We start from the raw sequence: 22,187 nt of genomic DNA on the forward strand, positions 1-22,187 counted from the left end.
TTTCAGAAAATGTGTAGTTTCTGGGGAAGCCTATTCGTTAAAATCAAAGAAACTACATTTCCCTTTTTGACAAATAAATGATTTGTGAAGATGGAAGCCATTAACTTGCTTATTAGCATGTTGAAATTTTAATTAGATCCAGCAAAAGTATTTTAGATTCAAAGGCTCTGAAAGTTGATATTAGATGATGAGACTATATGTAGAAGCCTAGTGCTCCAAAAACATGCATTCCAAGCCTTCCAAGTCCAAGTAAATGTAGGTATCAAATATTATGAATTCAACTGTGTTGGGGAAGCAACAGAGGTTTAAGATAAGTGCACTGACATCATGGGGCTTTCAGCCTGATTGCGGACATATTTTAAGAAAGGAGGGAGGGAAGAAGAGAGGACAGGAGAGAGGAAGGGAGGAAGGGAAGGAAGGAAGGAAAGGAAGGAAGGAAGGAAGGAAGGAAGGAAGGAAGGAAGGAAGGAAAACATGTCAATTTGAATGCGGACATATTTTAAGAAAGGAAGGGAGGGAAGAAGAGTGGACAGGAGAGAGGGAGAGAGGAAGGGAGGAAGGGAGGAAGGAAGGAAGGAAAGGAAGGAAGGAAAACTTTCAATTTTCTTATTTGATAAACCAAACGATATTGAGAGGTAAGGATTGTTATCCACATTTCACAGATGGGGAAACTGAGGTTTGGAGAACTAGATAACCTGTATAAAATCACACAAGTATGCATCAAGGTCAGATAGGAATCAAATTCATTAAATGTAAAATCTATCCTTGTCTTTTTACATTGCTAAATTACAATACACAGGAAAAGACTGAAAAAGAAAAAATAGCATGTCAGTAGTAAAATACATAAAACTGACTTTACAGTAAGAATTCAGAGAAGAGTGAACTGAATTCAAGCTGGACATTAATCAGTCCATGATTTTCTTGTGAAAAATATAGTTCCTATGGTGGGCCTTGTAGATTTTCTAAATAGAGAAAAAGGAAGAAAGAATAATGTATCTGAGTCTGTTTCTTCAGGAATCCCTGTTCAACAGGGATTATGCCATTCACCCCACAGTACGATTGTAAGGATTGAAAGAGATAGCATATGTAAAACCATTTTGTAAACCACAATGAGATACCATCTCAAACCATTTAGAATGGCAATCATTAAAACGTCAGGAAACAGCAGGTGCTGGAGAGGATGTGGAGAAATAGGAATACTTTTATACTGTTGGTGGGACTGTAAACTAGTTCAACCATTGTGGAAGACAGTGTGGTGATTCCTCAGGGACCTAGAACTAGAAATACCATTTGATCCAGCCATCCCATTACTGGGTATATACCCAAAGGATTATAAATCATGCTGCTATAAAGACACATACACACGTATGTTTATTGCAGCACTATTCACAACAGCAAAGACTTGGAACCAAACCAAATGTCCATCAGTGATAGACTGGATTAAGAAAATGTGGCACATATACACCATGGAATACTATGCAGCCATAAAAAAGGATGAGTTCATGTCCTTTGTAGGGACATGGATGAAGCTGGAAACCATCATTCTCAGCAAACTATCGCAAGGACAGAAAACCAAACACTGAATGTTCTCACTCATAGGTGAGAATTGATCAATGAGGACACTTGGACACAGGAAGGGGAACATCACACACCGGGGCCTGTTGTGGGGTGGTGGGAGGGGGGAGGGATAGCATTAGGAGATATACCTAATGTAAATGACGAGTTAATGAGTGCAGCACACCAACAACATGGCACATGCATACATATATAACAAACCTACGCGTTCTGCACATGTACCCTAGAACTTAAAGTATAGTAATATATATATATAGTTATATATATATACTATATATATAGTATATATATATAGTTATATATATATACTGTATATATAGTATATATATATACTATATATATATAGTATATATATATAACTATATATACAGTATATATATAACTATATATACAGTATATATAACTATATATATACAGTATATATAACTATATATAGTATATATATAACTATATATAGGTTATATATAACTATATATAGTGTATATATAACTATATATACAGTGTATATATATAGTTATATATACACTATATATAGTATAGTAATATATATTATATATAGTTATATATGTACTCTATAGTATAGTAATATATATTATATATATAGTATAGTAATATATACTATATATATATATATATATATGAAAAGAAAAACTACCTATTGGTTGGGTGCTATGCTCACTACCTGGGTGACAGGATCAATCATACCGCAAGTCTCAGCATCATGTAACATACCCATGTAACAAACTTGCAAATATACCTCCTGAATCCAAAATAAAAGTTGAAATTTTTAAAGTAAAAAAAAAAATTACTAAGCATTAATTGATTACGGATGGAGTAAGATGGCCAAATAGAAGGCTCCACCAAGCATCCCTCCCACAGGAACACCAAATGTAATAACTATCTAAACAAAAATAGCACATTCATAAGAAGAAAAAATCAGGTGAGCACTCATAGTATTTGGTTTTAACTTTATATCACTGAAATAGGCACTGTATTAGTCCACTCTCGCACTGCTATAAAGAACTGCCCGATACTGGGTAATTTAGAAAGGAAAGAAGTTTAATTGACTTAGGTTCTGCAGGGCTCGGGAGGTCACAGGAAACTTACAATCACGGTGGAACGGGAAGCAATCATGTCCTTCTTCACATGGCAGCAGCAAGGAGACGTGTCCAGCAAAGGGGGAAAAGCCCCTTATAAAACCATCAGATCTTGTGAGAACTCACTCACTATCATGAGAAAAGCATGAGGGTAACTGCCCCCCATGATCCAATTACCTCCCATCAGGTCCTTCCCATGACACATGGGGAGTATGGGAACTACAATTCAAGATGAGATTTGAGAGGAGACACAGCCAAACCATATCAGGCACTGAAGTGGGTAAGAAAGTCTTGAATCTCTAATATCACTCCTTCTCCACTATCCTCTAGCAGTAGATGTGTGGTGTGAGAAAATAATCTGTGTTCTTGGGAAAGGGAGGGTACAGCGGTTGTGAAACCTTGCGTTGAACTCAATTTTCACAGTGAGATTTGAGTTTTGCTGCCCTGTCACAGCATAAAGCAAAACAGGACTGAACTCAGCTGATGCCCGCCAATGGAGGAGGCATTTAGACCAGCCCCAGCCAGAGGGGAATTATCCATCCCAGCAGTTGGAATTTGAGTTCACTGCAAACTAAAGTGTTTTGGGGTTCTAAATAAATTTTAAAGGCAGTGTAGGACACAAGGACCACAACTCCTAGCTGAGTCCTAGTGCTATGCTAAGCAAAGAGCCAGTACACATTGGGGGAATGTGACCTGCTGAGACACCAGCCATAGTGGCTAAGGGAGCACATGCCACATCGCGCCCAACCCTTGACAGCACAGCTCATGGCTGCGAAAGAGACACCTTTCTTCCACTTGTGGAAATGAGAGGGAAGAGTAAAGAGGACTTTGTCTTGCACCTTGAATACCAGCTCAGCCACAGTACGGTGGAGCACTGATCAAAGTTTTGAGTCCCCCATTGTAGGCCTTAGTTCCTGGATGACATTTCTAGATACATCCTGAGCCAGAAGGGAACCCACCACCTTGAAGGAAACGACCCAATCCAGGCAGGACCCATCACCTGCTGCCTAAAGATATATTGGCCCCTGAATAACCCACAGCAATGCCCAGGTAGTACACCATAGGCCTTGGGTGAGACTGGGACATGCTGGCTTCAGGTGAGATCCAGCATATTTTCAGCTGTGATAGCTACAGTGAGAGACTCCTCCTACTTGAGAAAAGCAGAGGAAAAAGTAAAGGGGACTTTGTCTTGCACCTTAGGTACCAGCTTGGCCACAGGAGGGTAGAGTACCAAGTGGGCTCTTGGGGTCTCTGATTCCAGACCATGGCTCTTAGACAGCATTTCTGGACGTGCCTTGGGCCAAAATGGAGCCCACTGCCCTAAAGGGTGAGTCTCAAGCCTGGCAACATTCACCACATGCTAAAGATCCATTGGGCATTAAGTGAACATCAGTGGTAGCTTGAAAATACTTCCAGTGGGCCTGTGGTGGTGGTGGTAATGGGCTGAGGCTCTGCTTCCTGTGGAGAGGATAGGGAAAGCATCTCATTGAGCACCAACTCAGCCATAGTACAATAGCACAGGTAGATTTCTAAGGTTTTTGACTCTAGTCTTTGGTGGCTGGACAGTATTTCTGGACTGCCCTGGTACTGGAGAAACTTGCTGCCCTGAAGGGAGAGATGCAATGCAGGCTGGCTTTATGACCGGCAAATTGTAGTGCCCTCTGGCCTTGAGTGAAAATAGGTGGTAGCCAGAGAGTGGTTACAATGGGCCTTGGGTGAAACCGAGTGTTTTGCTGGCCTCAGGTCTGACCCAGCACATATCCAGTGGTGGTACTCACTGGGCTGCTTAAGTCACACGACACCTAGCTCCAAGCAGCTCAGCAAAGAGAGATATTCTGTTTGTTTGGGAAAAGTAAGGAAAGAAAACAAGCGTTTCTGCCTTAATACATAGAATTCTTCCAGATCTTATCCAAGGCCACCAAAGTGATACCTTTTTGAGTTTACAGAAACCACAGTATTACTGGGCCTGGGTTGCCCTCTAATGCAGATACAGCTAACGTCACAACACTCAAGTCCTTTCAAATACCCAGAAAGCCTTCTCAAGATGGACTGAGTAAAAACAAACCCAGATTGTGAAGACTACAATAAATATGTAACTTTTCAATGCCCAGACACCAAAGAACATCTGAAAGCATCAAGACCATATAGGAAAACATGACTCCACCAAACTAAATAAGGCACCAGGAGCCAGTCCAAGAGAAACAGAGATATGTGACCTTTCAGATAGATAAGATAGCTGTTTCGAGAAAACTGAGAAATTCAAGATATCACAGAGAAGGAATTCAAAGTTCTATCAGATAAATTTAATAAAAAGATTCAAATAATTAAAAAGAATCAAGTAGAAATCCTGGAACTGAAAAATGCAATTGGCATACCGAAGAATGCACCAAAGTCTTTTAATAGAACTAATCAAGCAGAAGAACAAATTAGTGGACTTGAAGGTAGGCTATTTGAAAATATACAGTCCGAGGAGACAAAAAAAAAAGAATAAAAAACAATGAAGCACACTTAGAATATCTAGAAAACGGCCTCGTAAGAGCAAATTTAAGAGTTATTGGCCTTAAAGAGGAGGTAGAGAAAGAGATATGATTAGAGAGATTATTTAAAAGAATAATAACACAGAACTTACCAAACCTGGGGAAAAAAATCGATATCTAAGTACAAGAAGGTTACAGAACCCCAAGTAGATTTAACCCAAAGAAGCCTACCCCAAGGCACTTAATAATCAAACTTCCAAAGGTCAAGAGTAAAGAAAGGATCCTAAAAGCAACAAGACAAAAGAAACAAATAATATACAGTAGCGCCACAATACACCTGGCAGCAGACTTTTCAGTGGACACCTTGCAAGCAACAAAAGAGTGACATGACATACGTAAAGAGCTTTGGGGGAAAAAAAGAAATGGTTAACCAAAAAAAAATTCTTCAAACATAATGAAGAAATAAAGATTTTCCCAGACAAACAAAAGCTGAGGAATTTTACCAACACCACACTTACCCTACATCAAATGCTAAAGGAAGTACTTCAATCAGAAAGAAAGTACGTTAGTGAGCAATAAGAAATCATCTGGAGGTCAGTCACAGCAGCTCAGCCTGTAATCCCAGCACTTTGGGAGGCTGAGGTGGGCAGATCACGAGGTCAGGAGATCAAGACCATCCTGGCAAACACGGTGAAACCCCATCTCTACTAAAAATTCAAAAAAATTAACCGGGCATGGTGGCTGGTGCCAGTAGTCCCAGCTACTCGGGAGACTGAGGCAGGAGAATGGCATGAACCTGGGGGGTGAAGCTTGCAGTGAGTGGAGATTGTGCCACTGCACTCCCGCCTGGGTGACAGAGCGAGACTCCATCTCAAAAAAAAAAAGAAATCATCTGACCTTACAATACTCACTGATAATAATAAGCACAAAGGAAAATTCAAAATATTATAACACAATAAATGTGGCTTGTAAACTTCCCCATCTTAAATAGAAAGACTTAAAGATGAACCAATCAAAAAGAACTACAACTTTTCAAGTCAAAGACACTACAGTGAGATATAAATAGAAATTGAAAGATTAAAAAGACGAGATTAATTTAAGGTGTAGAGTGTTTTTTAGTTTACTTTATTCTTGTTTGTTTAGATAAAGAGTGTTAAGACTTTATCACTCTGAAAATAATGGGTTATAAGATAGTATTTGCAAGCCTCATGGTAACCTCAAATCAAAAAAATAAACAACAGATACAAAAAAAAATTAAGAAATTAAAGCATACCACCAGACAAAATTACCTTCACTAAAAGGAAGACGAGAAGGAAGGAAAGAAAAAAGACTACAAAACAACCAGGAAACACATCACAAAATGGCAGGAGTGGGGGAGGAGCCAAGATGGCCGAATAGGAACAGCTCCAGTCTACAGCTCCCAGTGTGAGTGACTCAGAAGGGTGATTTCTGCATCTCCATCTGAGGTACCAGGTTCATCTCACTAGGGAGTGCCAGACAGTGGGCACAGGTCAGTTGGTGCATGCACCGTGTGCCTGCCAAAGCAGGGTGAGGCATTGCCTCACTCGGGAAGTGCAAGGGGTCAGGGAGTTCCCTTTCCTAGTCAAAGAAAGTGGTGACAGACGGCACCTGGAAAATCGGGTCACTCCCACCCTAATACTGCGCTTTTCCGATGGGCATAAAAAATGGCGCACCAGGAGATTATATCCCCCACATGGTTCAGAGGGTCCTATGCCCACGGAGTCTCATTGATTGCTAGCACAGCAGTCTGCGATCAAACTGCAAGGCAGCAGCGAGGCTAGGGGAGGGGTGCCCGCAATTGCCCAGGCTTGCTTAGGTAAACAAAGCAGCCGGGAAGCTCGAACTGGGTGGAGCCTGCCACAGCTCAAGGAGGCCTGCCTGCCTCTGTAGGCTCCACCTCTGGGGGAGGGCACAGACAAACAAAAAGACAACAGTAACCTCCGCAGACTTAAATGTCCCTGTCTGACAGCTTTGAAGAGAGCAGTGGTTCTCCCAGCACGCAGCTGGAGATCCGAGAAAGGGCAGACTGCCTCCTCAAGTGAGTCCCTGACCTCTGACCCCCATGCAGCCTAACTGGGAGACACCCCCCAGCAAGGGCAGACGGACACCTCACACGGCCGGGTACTCCAACAGACCTGCAGCTGAGGGTCCTCTCTGTTAGAAGGAAAACTAACAAACAGAAAGGACATCCACACCAAAAACCCATCTGTACATCACCATCATCTAAGACCAAAAGTAGATAAAACCACAAAGATAGGGAAAAAACAGAGCAGAAAAACTGGAAACTCTAAAAAGCAGAGCGCCTCTCCTCCTCCAAAGGAACGCAGTTCCTCACCAGCAACGGAACAAAGCTGGACAGAGAATGACTTTGAAGAGCTGAGAGAAGAAGGCTTCAGATGATCAAATTAATCCAAGCTACGGGAGGACATTCAAACCAAACGCAAAGAAGTTGAAAACTTTGAAAAAAATTTAGACGAATGTATAACTAGAATAACCAATACAGCGAAGTGCTTAAAGGAGCTGATGGAGCTGAAAAACAAGGCTCAAGAACTACGTGAAGAATGCAGAAGCCTCAGGAGCCGATGTGATCAACTGGAAGAAAGGGTGTCAACGATGGAAGATGAAATGAATGAAATGAAGTGAGAAGGGAAATTTAGAGAAAAAAGAATAAAAAGAAATGAGCAAAGCCTCCAAGAAATATGGGACTATGTGAAAAGACCAAATCTACGTCTGATTGGTGTACCTGAAAGTCACGGGGAGAATGGAACCAAGTTGGAAAACACTCTGCAGGATATTATCCAAGAGAAATTCCCCAATCTAGCAAGGCAGGCCAACATTCAGATTCAGGAAATACAAAGAACGCCACAAAGATACTCCTTGAGAAGAGCAACACCAACAAACATAATTGTCAGATTCACCAAAGTTGAAGTGAAGGAAAAAATGTTAAGGGCAGCCAGAGAGAAAGGTAGGGTTATCCTCAAAGGGAAGCCCATCAGACTAACAGCAGATCTCTCAGCAGAAACTCTATAAGCCAGAAGAGAGTGGGGGCCAATATTCAACATTCTTAAAGAAAAGAATTTTCAACCGAGAATTTCATATCCAGCCAAACTAAGCTTCATAAGTGAAGGAGAAATAAAATACTTTACAGACAAGCAAATGCTGAGATATGTTCTCACCACCAGGCCCGCCCTAAAAGAGCTCCTGAAGGAAGCGCTAAACATGGAAAGGAACAACCGGTACCAGCCACTGCAAAATCATGCCAAAATGTAAAGACCATCAAGACTAAGAAGAAACTGCATCAACTAAGGAGAAAAATAACCAGGTAACATCATAATGACAGGATCAAATCCACACATAACAATATTAACTTTAAATGTAAATGGACTAAATGCTCCAATTAAAAGACACAGACTGGCAAACTGGATAAAGAGTCAAGACCCATCAGTGTGCTGTATTCAGGAAACCCATCTCACGGGCAGAGACACACATAGGCTCAAAATAAAAGGATGGAGGAAGATCTACCAAACAAATGGAAAACAAAGGCAGGGGTTGCAATCCTAGTCTCTGATAAAACAGACTTTAAACCAACAAAGATCAAAAGAGACTAAGAAGGCCATTACTTAATGGTAAAGGGATCAATTCAACAAGAAGAGCTAACTATCCTAAATATATATGCACCCAAAACAGGAGCACCCAGATTCATAAAGCAAGTCCTGAGTGACCTGCAAAGAGACTTAGACTCCCAAACATTAATAATGGGAGACTTTAACACCCCACTGTCAACATTGACAGATCAACAAGACAGAAAGTCAACAAAGATACCCAGGAATTGAACTCAGCTCTGCACCAAGCGGACCTAATAGACATCTACAGAACTCTCCACCCCAAATCAACAGAATATACATTTTTTTCAGCACCACACCACACCTAATCCAAAATTGACCGCATACGTGGAAGTAAAGCTCTCCTCAGCACACGTAAAAGAACAGAAATTATAACAAACTATCTCTCAGACCACAGTGCAATCAAACTAGAACTCAGGATTAAGAAACTCACTCAAAACCGCTCAACTACATGGAAACTAAACAACCTGCTCCTGAATTACTACTGGGTACATAACGAAATGAAGGCAGAAATAAAGATGTTCTTTGAAACCAACGAGAACAAAGACACAACATACCAGATTCTCTGAGACACATTCAAAGCAGTGTGTAGAGGGAAATTTATAGCACTAAATGTCCACAAGAGAAAGCAGGAAAGATCCAAAATTGACACCCTAACATCACAATTAAAAGAACTAGAAAAGCAAGAGCAAACACATTCAAAAGCTAGCAGAAGGCAAGAAATAACTAAAATCAGAGCAGAACTGAAGGAAATAGAGACACAAAAAAACCTTCAAAAAATCAATGAATCCAGGAGCTGGTTTTTTGAAAAGATCAACAAAATTGATAGACTGCTAGCAAGACTAAAAAAGAAGAAAAGAGAGTAGAATCAAACACATGCAATAAAAAATGATAAAGGGGATATCACCACCGATCCCACAGAAATACAAACCACCATCAGAGAATACTACAAACACCTCTACACAAATAAACTAGAAAATCTAGAAGAAATGGATAAATTCCTCGACACATACACTCTCCCAAGACTAAACCAGGAAGAAGTTGAATCTCTGAATAGACCAATAACAGGAGCTGAAACTGTGGCAATAATCAATACTTACCAACGATAAAGAGTCCAGGACCAGATGGATTCACAGCCGATTCTACCAGAGGTACAAGGAGGAACTGGTACCATTCCTTCTGAAACTATTCCAATCAATAGAAAAAGAGGGAATCCTCCCTAATTCGTTTTATGAGGCCAGCATCATCCTGATACCAAAGCCGGGCAGAGACACAACCAAAAAAGAGAATTTTAGACCAATATGCTTGATGAACATTGATGCAAAAATCCTCAATAAAATACTGGCAAACCGAATCCAGCAGCACATCAAAAAGCTTATCCACCATGATCAAGTGGGCTTCATCCCTGGGATGCAAGGCTGGTTCAATATACGCAAATCAATAAATGTAATCCAGCATATAAACCGAACCAAAGACAAAAACCACATGATTATCTCAATAGATGCAGAAAAGGCCTTTGACAAAATTCAACAACCCTTCATGCTAAAAACTCTCAATAAATTACGTATTGATGGGACGTATCTCAAAATAATAAGAGCTATTTATGACAAACCCACAGCCAATATCATACTGAATGGGCAAAAACTGGAAGCATTCCCTTTGAAAACTGGCACAAGACAGGTATACCCTCTCTCACCACTCCTATTCAGCATAGTATTGGAAGTTCTGGCTAGGGCAATCAGGCAGGAGAAGGAAATAAAGGGTATTCAATTAGGAAAAGAGGAAGTCAAATTGTCCGTGTTTGCAGATGACATGATTGTATATCTAGAAAACCCCATCATCTCAGCCAAAAATCTCCTTAAGCTGATAAGCAACTTCAGCAAAGTCTCAAAATATAAAATCAACGTACAAAAATCACAAGCATTCTTGTACACCAACAACAGACAAACAGAGAGCCAAATCATGAGTGAACTCCCATTCACAATTGCTTCCAAGAGAATAAAATACCTAGGAATCCAACTTACAAGGGATGTGAAGGACCTCTTCAAGGAGAACTACAAACCACTGCTCAAGAAAATAAAAGAGGATACAAACAAATGGAAGAACATTCCATGCTCATGGGTAGGAAGAACCAATATCGTGAAAATGACCATACTGCCCAAGGTAATTTACAGATTCAATGCCATCCCCATCAAGCTACCAATGACTTTCTTCACAGAATTGGAAAAATCTACTTTAAAGTTCATATGGAACCAAAAAAGAGCCTGCATTGCCAAGTCATCCTGAGCCAAAAGAACAGAGTTGGAGGCATCACCCTACCTGACTTCCAACAATACTACAAGGCTACAGTAACCAAAACAGCATGGTACTGGTACCAAAACAGAGATATAGATCAATGGAACAGAACAGAGACATCAGAATTAATGCCGCATATCTACAACTATCTGATCTTTGACAAACCTGGGAAAAACAAGCAATGGGGAAAGGATTCCCTATTTAATAAATGGTGCTGGGAAAACTGGCTAGCCATATGTAGAAAGCTGAAACTGGATCCCTTCCTTACACCTTATACAAAAATCAATTCAAGATGGATTAAAGACTTAAACGTTTGACCTAATACCATAAAAACCCTAGAAGTAAACCTAGGCATTACCATTCAGGACATAGGCTTGGGCAAGGACTTCATGTCTAAAACACCAAAAGCAATGGCAACAAAAGCCAAAATTGACAAATGGGATCTAATTAAACTAAAGAGCTTCTGCACAGCAAAAGAAACTACCATCAGAGTGAACAGGCCACCTACAAAATGGGAGAAAATTTTCACAACCTACTCATCTGACAAAGGGCTAATATCCAGAATCTACAATGAACTCAAACAAATTTACAAGAAAAAAAACAAACAACCCCATCACTGGCCATCAGAGAAATGCAAATCAAAACCACAATGAGACACCATTTCACACCAGTTAGAATGGCAATCATTAAAAAGTCAGGAAACAACAGGTGCTGGAGAGGATGTGGAGAAATAGGAACACTTTTACACTGTTGGTGGGACTGTAAACTAGTTCAACCATTGTGGAAGTCAGTGTGGCGATTCCTCAGGGATCTAGAACTAGAAATACCATTTGACCCAGCCATCCCATTACTGGGTATATACCCAAAGGACTATAAATCATGCTGCTATAAAGACACATGCACACGTATGTTTATTGCGGCATGATTCACAATAGCAAAGACTTGGAACCAACCCAAATGTCCAACAATGATAGACTGGATTAAGAAAATGTGGCACATATACACCATGGAATACTATGCAGCCATAAAAAATGATGAGTTCATGTCCTTTGTAGGGACATGGATGAAATTGGAAATCATCATTCTCAGTAAACTATCACAAGAACAAAAAACCAAACACCGCATATTCTCACTCATAGGTGGGAATTGAACAATAAGAACACATGGACACAGGAAGGAGAACATCACACTCCGGGGACTGTTGTGGGGTGTGGGGAGGGATAGCATTGGGAGATATACCTAATGCTAGATGACGAGTTAGTGGGTGCAGTGCACCAGCATGGCACATGTATACATATGTAACTAATCTGCATATTGTGCACATGTACCCTAAAACATAAAGTATAATAATAATAAATAAATTTTTTTTAAAAAGGAAAAAAAAGTTGGTATTCCTTAAAAGTTAACCTTTTATGGTTAATAAACTATTGCTATAGTTTAAAAAAAATGGCAGGAGTAATTCTTTGCTTATCATTGAATGTTACTAATTATTCAGTATTACCAATAACATCAAATGTAAATGGACTAAATTCTACAATCAAAAGACATAGAGTGGCTGAATTGATTTTAAAAAGACCCAATGATATGTTGTCTATGAGAAACAGACTTCCCTTGTAAAGACACAGACAGACTGAAGATACAGGGATGGAAAAAGATATTCTATGATATTTGAAACAAAGAAAGAACAGGAGTTGGAACATATGGCTAGCCAGTTTTCCCAGCACCATTTGTTAAATAGGGAATCCTTTCCCCATTTCTTGTGTTTGTCAGGTTTGTTAAAGATCAGATGGTTGTAGATGTGTGGTATCATATCTGAGGGCTCTGATCTGTTCCTTTTGTCTACATCTCTGTTTTGGTACCAGTACCATGCTGTTTTGGTTACTGTAGCCTTGTAGTATAGTTTGAAGTCAGGTAGCATGATGTCGCCAGCTTTGTTCTTTTGGATTAGGATTGTCTTGGCAATGCAGGCTCTTTTTCGGTTCTGTGTGAACTTTAAAGTAGTTTTTTCCAATTCTGTGAAGAAAGTCATTGGTAGCACGATGGGGATGGCATTGAATCTATAAATTACCTTGGGCAGTATGGCCATTTTCACGATTTTGATTCTTTCTATCCATGAGCATGGAATGTTCTTCCATTTGTTTGTGTCCTCTTTTATTTCTTTGAGCAGTGGTTTGTAGTTCTCCTTGAAGAGGTCCTTCACATCCCTTGTAACTTGGATTCCTAGGTATTTTATTCTCTTTGAAGCCATTGTGAATGGGAGTTCACTCATGATTTGGCTGTCTGTTTGCCTGTTATTGGTGTATAGGAATACTTGTGATTTTTGCACATTGATTTTGTATTATGAGAGTTTGCTGAAGTTGCATATCAGCTTAAGGAGATTTTGGGCTGAGATGATGGGGTTTTCTAAATATACAATATCATCTGCAAACAGGGACAATTTGACTTCCTCTTTTCCTAATTGAATACCCTTTTTTTTTATCCTGCATGATTGCTCTGGCCAGAAATTCCAACACTGTGTTGAATAGGAATGGTGAGAGAGGGAATCCCTGTCTTGTGCCAGTTTTCAAAGGGAATGCTTCCAGTTTTTGCCTATTCAGTATGACATTGGCTGTCGGTTTGTCATAAATAGCTCTTATTATTTTGAGCTATGTCCCATCAATACCTAATTTATTGAGAGTTTTTAGCATGAAGGGCTGCTGACTTTTGGCAAAGGCCTTTTCTGCATTTATTGAGATAATCATGTGGTTTTTGTCTTTGGTTCTGTTGATATGCTGGATTACATTTATTGATTTGCGTATGTTGAACCAGTCTTGCATCCCAGGGATGAAGCCCACTTGATCATGGTGGATAAGCTTTTTGATGTGCTGCTGAATTCGGTTTACCAGTATTTTATTGAAGATTTGTGCATTGATATTCATCAGGGGTATTGGTCTAAAATTCTCTTTTTTTGTTGTGTCTCTGCCAGACTTTGGTAATCAGGATGTTGCTGGCCTCATAAAATGAATTAGGGAGGATTCCCTCTTTTTCTATTGATTGGAATAGTTTCAGAAGGAATGGTACCAGCTCCTCTTTGTACCTCTGGAAGAATTTGGCTGTGAATCTGTCTGTTCCTGGACTTTTTTTGGTTGGTAGGCTATTAATTATTGCCTCATTTTCAGATCCTGTTATTGGTCTATTCAGGGATTCAACTTCTTCCTGGTTTAGTCTTGGCAGGGTGTATGTGTCCAGTAATTTATTCATTTCTTCTGGATTTTCTAGTTTGTTTGCGTAGAGGTGTTTATAGTATTCTCTGATGGTAGTTTGTATTTCTGTGGTATCAGTGGTGATATCCCCTTTATCATTTTTTATTGCATCTATTTGATTCTTCTCTCTTTTCTTCTTTTTTAGTCTTGCTAGCAGTCTATCAATTTTGTTGATCTTTTCAAAAACCAGCCCCTGGTTTCATTGATTTTTTGAAGGGTTTTTTGTGTCTCTATTTCCTTCAGTTCTGCTCTGACTGTAGTTATTTCTTGCCTTCTGCTACCTTTTGAACGTGTTTGCTCTTGCTTCTCTAGTTCTTTTAATTGTGATATTAGGGTGTCAATTTTGGATCTTTCCCGCTTTCTCTTGTGGGCATTTAGTGCTATAAATTTCCCTCTACACACTGCTTTGAATGTGTCCCAGAGATTCTGGTATGTTGTGTCTTTGTTCTCGTTGGTTTCAAACAACGTCTTTATTTCTGCCTTCATTTTGTTATGTACCCAGTAGTCATTCAGGAGCAGATTGTTCAGTTTCCATGTAGTTGAGCGATTTTGAGTGAGTTTCTTAATCCTGAGTTCTAGTTTGATTGCACTGTGGTCTGAGAGACAGTTTGTCATAATTTCTGTTCTTTTACATGTGCTGAGGAGTGCTTTACTTCCAACTATGTGGTCAATTTTGGAATAAGTGCAGTGTGGTGCTGAGAAGAATGTATATTCTGTTGATTTGGGGTGGAGAGTTCTGTAGATGTCTATTAGGTCCGCTTGGTGCAGAGCTGAGTCCAATTCCTGGATATCCCTGTTAACTTTCTGTCTTGTTGATCTAATGTTGACAGTGGGGTGTTAAAGTCTCCCATTATTATTGTGTGGGAGTCTAAGTCTGTTTCTAGGTATCTAAGGACTGTCTTTATGAATCTGGGTGCTCCTGTGTTGGGTGCATACATATTTAGGATAGTTAGATTTTCTTGTGGAACTGATCCCTTTACCATTATTTAATGGCCTCTTTGTCTCTTTTGATCTTTGTTGGTTGAAGTCTGTTTTATCAGAGACTAGGATTGTAACCCCTGCCTTTTTCTGTTTTCCATTTGCTTGGTAGATCTTCCTCCATCCCTTTATTTTGAGCCTATGTGTGTCTGTGCATGTGAGATGGGTTTCCTGAATACAGCACACTGACTGGTCTTGACTCTTTATCCAATTTGGCAGTCTGTGTCTTTTATTTGGAGCATTTAGTCCATTTACATTTATGGTTAATATTGTTATGTGTGAATTTGATCCTGTCATTATGATGTTAGCTGGTTATTTTGCTCCTTAGTTGATGCAGTTTCTTCCTAGCCTGGATGGTCTTTACAATTTGGCATGTTTTTGCAGTGGCTGGTACTGGTTGTTCCTTTTCATGTTTATTGCTTCCTTCAGGAGCTCCTGTAAGGCAGGCCTGGTGGTGACAAAATCTCTCAGCATTTGCTTGTCTGTAAAGGATTTTATTTCTCCTTCACTTATGAAGCTTAGTTTGGCTGGATATGAAATTCTGGGTTGAAAATTCTTTTCTATAAGGATGTTGAATATTGGCCCCCACTCTCTTCTGGCTTGTAGAGTTTCTGCCGAGATATCTGCTGTTAGTCTGATGGGCTTCCCTTTTTGGGTAACCTGACCTTTCTCTCTGGCTGCCCTTGCCATTTTTTCCTTCATTTCAACTTTGGTGAATCTGACAATTATGTGTCTTGGAGTTGCTCTTCTCGAGGAGTATCTTTGTGGCATTCTCTGTATTTCCTGAATTTGAATGTTGGCCTGCCTTGCTAGATTGGGGAACTTCTCCTGGATAATATCCTGCAGAGTGTTTTCCAACTTGGTTCCATTCTCCCCGTGACTTTCAGGTACACGAATCAGACATAGATTTGGTCTTTTCACATAGTCCCATATTTCTTGGAGGCTTTGTTCTTTTTTGTTTATCCTTTTTTCTCTAAACTTCTCTTCTTGCTTCATTTCATTCATTTGATCTCCCATCACTGATACTTTTTCTTCCAGTTGATCAAATCGGCTACTGAGGCTTGTGCATTCATCACGTAGTTCTCGTGCCTTGGTATTCAGCTCCATCATGTCCTTTAAGGACTTCTCTGCATTGGTTATTCTAGTTCGCCATTTGTCTAATTTTTTTTTCAAAGTTTTTAACTTCTTTGCCATGGGTTTGAACTTCCTCCTTTAGCTCAGAGTAGTTTGATTGTCTTAAGCCTTCTTCTCTCAACTCGTCAAAGTCATTCTCCATCCGGGTTTGTTCCATTGCTGGTGAGGAGCTGCATTCCTTTGGAGGAGGAGAGGTGCTCTGATTTTTAGAGTTTCCAGTTTTTCTGCTCTGTTTTTTCCCCATCTTTGTGGTTTTATCTACCTTTAGTCTTTGATGATGGTGACATACAGATGGGGTTTTGGTGTGGATGTCCTTTCTGTTAGTTTTCCTTCTAACAGACAGGACCCTCAGCTGCAGGTCTGTTGCAGTTTGGCAGAGGTCCACTCCAGATCCTGTTTCCTGGGTATCAGCAGTGGAGGCTGCAGAACAGCGGATATTGGTGAGCAGCAAATATTGCTGCCTGATCGTTCCTCTGGAAGTTTTGTCTCAGAGGAGTAAGCGGCTGGGTGAGGTGTCAGTCTTCCCCTACTGGGGTGTGCCTCCCAGTTAGGCTACTTGGGGTTCAGGGACCAATTTGAGGAGGCAGTCTGTCCGTTCTCGGATCTCCAGCTGTGTACTGGAGAACCACTATTCTCTTCAAAGCTGTCAGACAGGGACATTTAAGTCTGCAGAGGATTCTGCTGCCTTTTGTTTGGCTATGCCCTGCCCCCAGAGGTGGAGTCTACAGAGTCAGGCAGGCCTTCTTGAGCTGTGGTGGGCTCCACCCAGTTCGCGCTTCCCAGCTGCTTTGTTTACCTACTCAAGCCTCGGCAATGGCAGGCACCCGTCCCCCAGCCTCGCTGCCACCTTGCAGTTTAATCTCAGACTGCTGTGCTAGCAGTGAGCGGGGCTCCATGGGCGTAGGACTCTCCAAGCCAGGCACGGGATATAATCTCCTGGTGTACCATTTGCTAAGACCATTGGAAAAGCACAGTATTAGGGTGGGAGTGACCTAATTTTCCAGGTACCATCTGTCACCCATTTCTTTGACTAGGAAAGGGAATTCCCTGACCCGTTGTGCTTCCCAGGTGAGGCGATGCCTCGCCCTTCCGCTCATGCTTGGTGCACTGCACCCACAGTCCTGCACCCACTTTCCAACACTCCCCAGTGATATAAAACCAGTACCTCAATTGGAAATGCAGAAATCACCCGTCTTCTGCGTCGCTCATGCTGGGAGCTGTAGACTGGAGCTGTTCCTATTCGGCCATCTTGGCTCCACGCCCAATAGGAATGCTTTTACACTGTTGGTGGGACTGTAATCTAGTTCAACCATTGTGGAAGACAGTGTGGTGAATCCTCAAGGATCTAGAACTAGAAATAGCATTTGACCCAGCCATCTCATTACTGGGTATATACCCAAAGGATTATAAATCATGCTGCTATAAAGACACATGCACACGTATGTTTATTGTGGCACTATTCACAATAGCAAAGACTTGGAACCAACCCAGTGTCCATTAATGATAGACTGGGTTAAGAAATTGTGGCACATATACACCATGGAATGCTATGCAGCCATAAAAAAGGATGAGTTCATGTCCTTTGTAGGGACATGGATGAAGATGGAAACCATCATTTTGAGCAAACTATTGCCAAGGACAGAAAACCAAACACTGCATGTTCTCACTCATAGGTGGGAATTGAACAATGAGAACACTTGGACTCAGGAAGGGGAACATCACACACTGGGGCTGTCATAGGGTAGGGGGAGGGGGAGGGACAGCATTAGGAGATATACGTAATGTAAATGATGAGTTAATGGGTGTAGCCCACCAACATGGCACAAGTATACATATGTAACAAACCTGCATGTTGTGCACAGGTACCCTAGAACTTAAAGTATAATTTAAAAAAAAAGGATAGGAGTTGCTATACTCGAAATCAGATTGATTTCAAGACAAAACTTATAGGAAGAGGCAATGACCATAATTATATAACTATAAAGTGGTCAATTCAGCAGGAGATATAGCAATTGTAAATTTATAGGCACTTAACACTTGATCACCCAGATATATGAGGCACATATTCTTAGAGAATAAGAAAGAGATACAATAATGCCGGGAGACTTCAACCCCCACCCCCACCTTCAGCATGGGATGTATCTTCTAGACCATTAAAAATATATCAACAAACACCAGACATAATCGGCACTATGGATCAAATATACGTAAGAGATATTTACAGAACATTTCATTCAACAGCTGCAGAATACACATTATTTTCCTCAGCACATGGATCATTCTCAAGGATAGACCATATGTTAGGTCAAGAAGCAAGTCTTAAAGTATTCAACAAAATAGAAATAATATCAAGCATCTTCTCTGGCAAAACAGAATAAAACTAGGAATCAATAATAACAATAATTTTAAAATGTTGCTGTTGTATCATCGATGCAAAGAGACCAACAATAGAACTATAATACAATAAAATTCACAGAATATTATACACTGGGACAGACTGAGACATTTAGTTAATGGCAAGAACACAGTAAACACAAGCACCTGAAGATGTGCAAGTCAAGTAAAATGATATATGGATTATACAGTGAATTTTCTAAGCCCATCTGAGGACTTTGTACCTTTTCAAAAATATCCTATATACCCCTCCAAGTTACAGAACATCTGTCTTATCTGCTTACTTCATGGCTTTTCCAATATAAAAGGTTTACAAAATCTATTTATACCTTATTTCCCTTTTTATTTAATATACTGTGGGAAAAAAGATGGAGACAAATATAATTTTCTGACATAAAAAATTAAGTTATTACAGGCACATTTACTGTTTCATTCTAGAAACATCTCAGTTTCACAGGTTGATTATTCAGCAGCTGTGTGGTTTTTTAAAACATTCTTTGATTTTGAGAAAACTAAGATATCTCTTTTTGGGCAGATTTTGATTCATAACAATGGTGTGATTATGTGAATTATATTGTGATAATTCATGCAATGATGTCAGGTCCCTGGTTGACTGAGGCTATGAGCCAGTGGGGGATATGGGGCCCAACAGGATGGAGGGCAATTGTTTGCTGGTCCCTTGGGCCTGGAGAAACTGGTCTCTAGGTATGGGGCTAGTAGAGAACAAAGTAGTTGCTCCATGGACACTGAGTCCTGCAGTGATGATCCTTTCAATTGATGCTGAAAAAGCATTTGATAAAATTCAACATTCTCCCTCTCCCTCTCCCTCTCCCTCCTCCCGCTTTCCATGGTCTCCCCCTCTCCCTCATCTCCGTCTTCCACTTTCCATGGTCTCCCTCTGTTGCCAAGGCTGGACTGTAATGCCGCGATCTTGGCTCACTGCAACCTCCCTGCCTGATTCTCCTGCCTCAGCCTGCCAAGTGCCTGGGATTGCAGGTGCGCACCACCACGCCTGACTGGTTTTTGTATTTTTTGGTGGAGACGGGGTTTTGCCATGTTGGCCAGGCTGGTCTCCAGCTCCTGACCTCGAGTGATCTGCCTGCCTCAGCCTCCCGAGGTGCCGGGATTGCAGATGGAGTCTCGCTCACTCAGTGCTCAATGTTGCCCAGACTGGAGTGCAGTGGCATGATCTCGGCTCGCTACAACCCCCACCTCCCAGCCGCCTGCCTTGGCCTCCCAAAGTCCTGAGATTTCAGCCTCTGCCTGGCCGCCACCCCGTCTAGGAAGTGAGGAGCGTCTCTGCCTGTCCACCAATCATCTGGGATGTGAGGAGCCCCTCTGCCTGGCTGCCCAGTCTGGGAAATGAGGAGTGCCTCTTCCCGGCCGTCATCCCTTCTGTGAAGTGAGGAGCATCTCTGCCTGGCCGCCCATCTTCTGGGATGTGGGGAGCACCTCTGCCCGGCCGCAACCCCATCTGGGAACTGAGGAGCGCCTCTGTCCAGCTGCCCAGTCTGAGAAGTGAGGAGCCCCTCCGCCCGGCAGCCGTCCCGTCTGGGAAGTGAGGAGTGTCTCCAACCGGGCTGCCCCATCTGGGAGGTGAGGGGCGCCCCCGCCCGGTAGCCACCCCGTCTGGGAGGTGGGGGTCACCCCCGCTTGGCAGCCACCCCATCTGGGAGGTGGGTGGTGCCCCCGCCCAGCAGCCGCCCCGTCTGGGAGGTGGGGGGCGCCTCTGCCCGGCCTCCCCATCTGGGGGGTGGGGGGCCCCTCTGCCTGGCTGCCACGTCTGGGAAGTGAGGAGCCCCTCTGCCTGGCCACCACCCCGTCTGGGAGGTGTACCCAACAGCTCATTGAGAATGGGCCATGATGACGATGGCAGTTTTGTCGAATAGAAAAGGGGGAAATGTGGGGAAAAGAAAGAGAGATCGGATTGTTACTGTGTCTGTGTAGAACGAAGTAGACATAGGAGGCTCCATTTTGCTCTGTACTAAGAAAAATTCTTCTGCTTTGGGATGCTGTTAATGTATAACCTTACCCCAACCCCGTGCTCTCTGAAACATGTGCTATGTCAACTCAGGGTTAAATGGATTAAGGGCGGTGCAAGAAGATGTGCTTTGTTAAACAGATGCTTGAAGGCAGCATGCTCGTTAAGAGTCATCACCACTCCCTAATCTCAAGTACCCAGGGACACAAACACTGCGGAAGGCCACAGGGTCCTCTGCCTAGGAAAACCAGAGACCTTTGTTCACAAGTTTATCTGCTGACCTTCTCTCCACTATTGTCCTATGACCCTGCCAAATCCCCCTCTCTGAGAAACACCCAAGAATGATCAATAAATACTAAAAAAATTAAAAAAAAATTCAACATCCTTTCTTTTTTAATTTAATTTTATTTTAAGTTCTGGGATACATGTGCTTAACGTGCAGGTTTGTTACATAGGTATACATGTGCCATGGTGGTTTGCTGCACCTTTCAACCCGTCATCTAGGTTTTAAGCACCGCATGCATTAGGTATTTGTCCTAATGCTCTCCATCCCCTTGCCCCACAACCCCCGAAAGGCCCTAGTGTGTAATGTTCCCCTCCCTGTGTCCATGTGTTCTCATTGTTCAACTCCCACTTATGAGTGAGAACGTGCAGTGTTTGGTTTTGTTTCCAGCCTCATCCATACCCCTGCAAAGAACATGAACTCATCCTTTTTATGGCTGCATAATATTTCATGGTGTATAAGTACAACATATGCAATAAACACATGTGTACATGTGTCTTGATAGTAGAATGATTTATAATTCTTTGGGTATATACCCAGTAATGGGATTGCTGGGTCACATGGTATTTCTGGTTCTAGATGCTTGAGGAATCGCCACACTGTCTAACACAATGGTTGAACTAATTTACACTACCACCAAAAGTGTAAAAGCATTCCGATTTCTCTGCATCCTCTCCAGCATCTATTGTTTCCAGACTTTTTAATAATCTCTATTCTAACTAGTGTGAGATGGTGTTGCATTGTGGTTTTGATTTGCATTTCTCTAATGACCAGTGATGATGAGCTTTTTTTCATATGCTTGTTGGCTACCTAAATGTCTTCTTTTGAGAAGTGTCTGTTCATATCCTTCACCCAATTTTCAATGAGATTGTTTGGTTTTTTTCTTGTAAATTTGTTTAAGTTCCTTATCAATTCCAGATATTAGACCTTTGTCAGATTGATAGATTGCAAAAATTTTCTCCCATTCTGTAGGTTGCCTGTTCACTCTGAGATAGTTTCTTTTGCTGGGCAGAAGCTCTTTAATTTAATTAGATCCCATTTGACAATTTTGGCTTTTGTTGCCATTGCTTTTGGTGTTTTAGCCATG

General features: G+C 41.4%; 1 protein-coding gene across 14 annotated transcripts in view, besides 1 other annotated feature; it reads left to right on the forward strand.

Annotated features, from left to right (window-relative positions):
• The window catches only part of ZC3H12B (zinc finger CCCH-type containing 12B), a 473,062-nt gene that overhangs the window by 337,251 nt on the left and 113,624 nt on the right, over positions 1 to 22,187 (forward strand). The gene's annotated exons all lie outside the window — the stretch shown is intronic.
• Positions 20,743 to 21,244: an enhancer, noted in NCBI's record as "NANOG hESC enhancer chrX:64612699-64613200 (GRCh37/hg19 assembly coordinates)". NCBI's record gives its function as "activates a minimal SCP1, AML or CMV promoter by ChIP-STARR-seq in naive H9 embryonic stem cells {active_cell/tissue: H9 hESC(naive)}" and the evidence as "EXISTENCE:reporter gene assay evidence [ECO:0000049][PMID:30033119]".

Source organism: Homo sapiens, chromosome X (genome assembly GCF_000001405.40).
Source record: "Homo sapiens chromosome X, GRCh38.p14 Primary Assembly".
In the NCBI taxonomy this organism is placed as follows: Eukaryota; Metazoa; Chordata; class Mammalia; order Primates; family Hominidae; genus Homo; species Homo sapiens.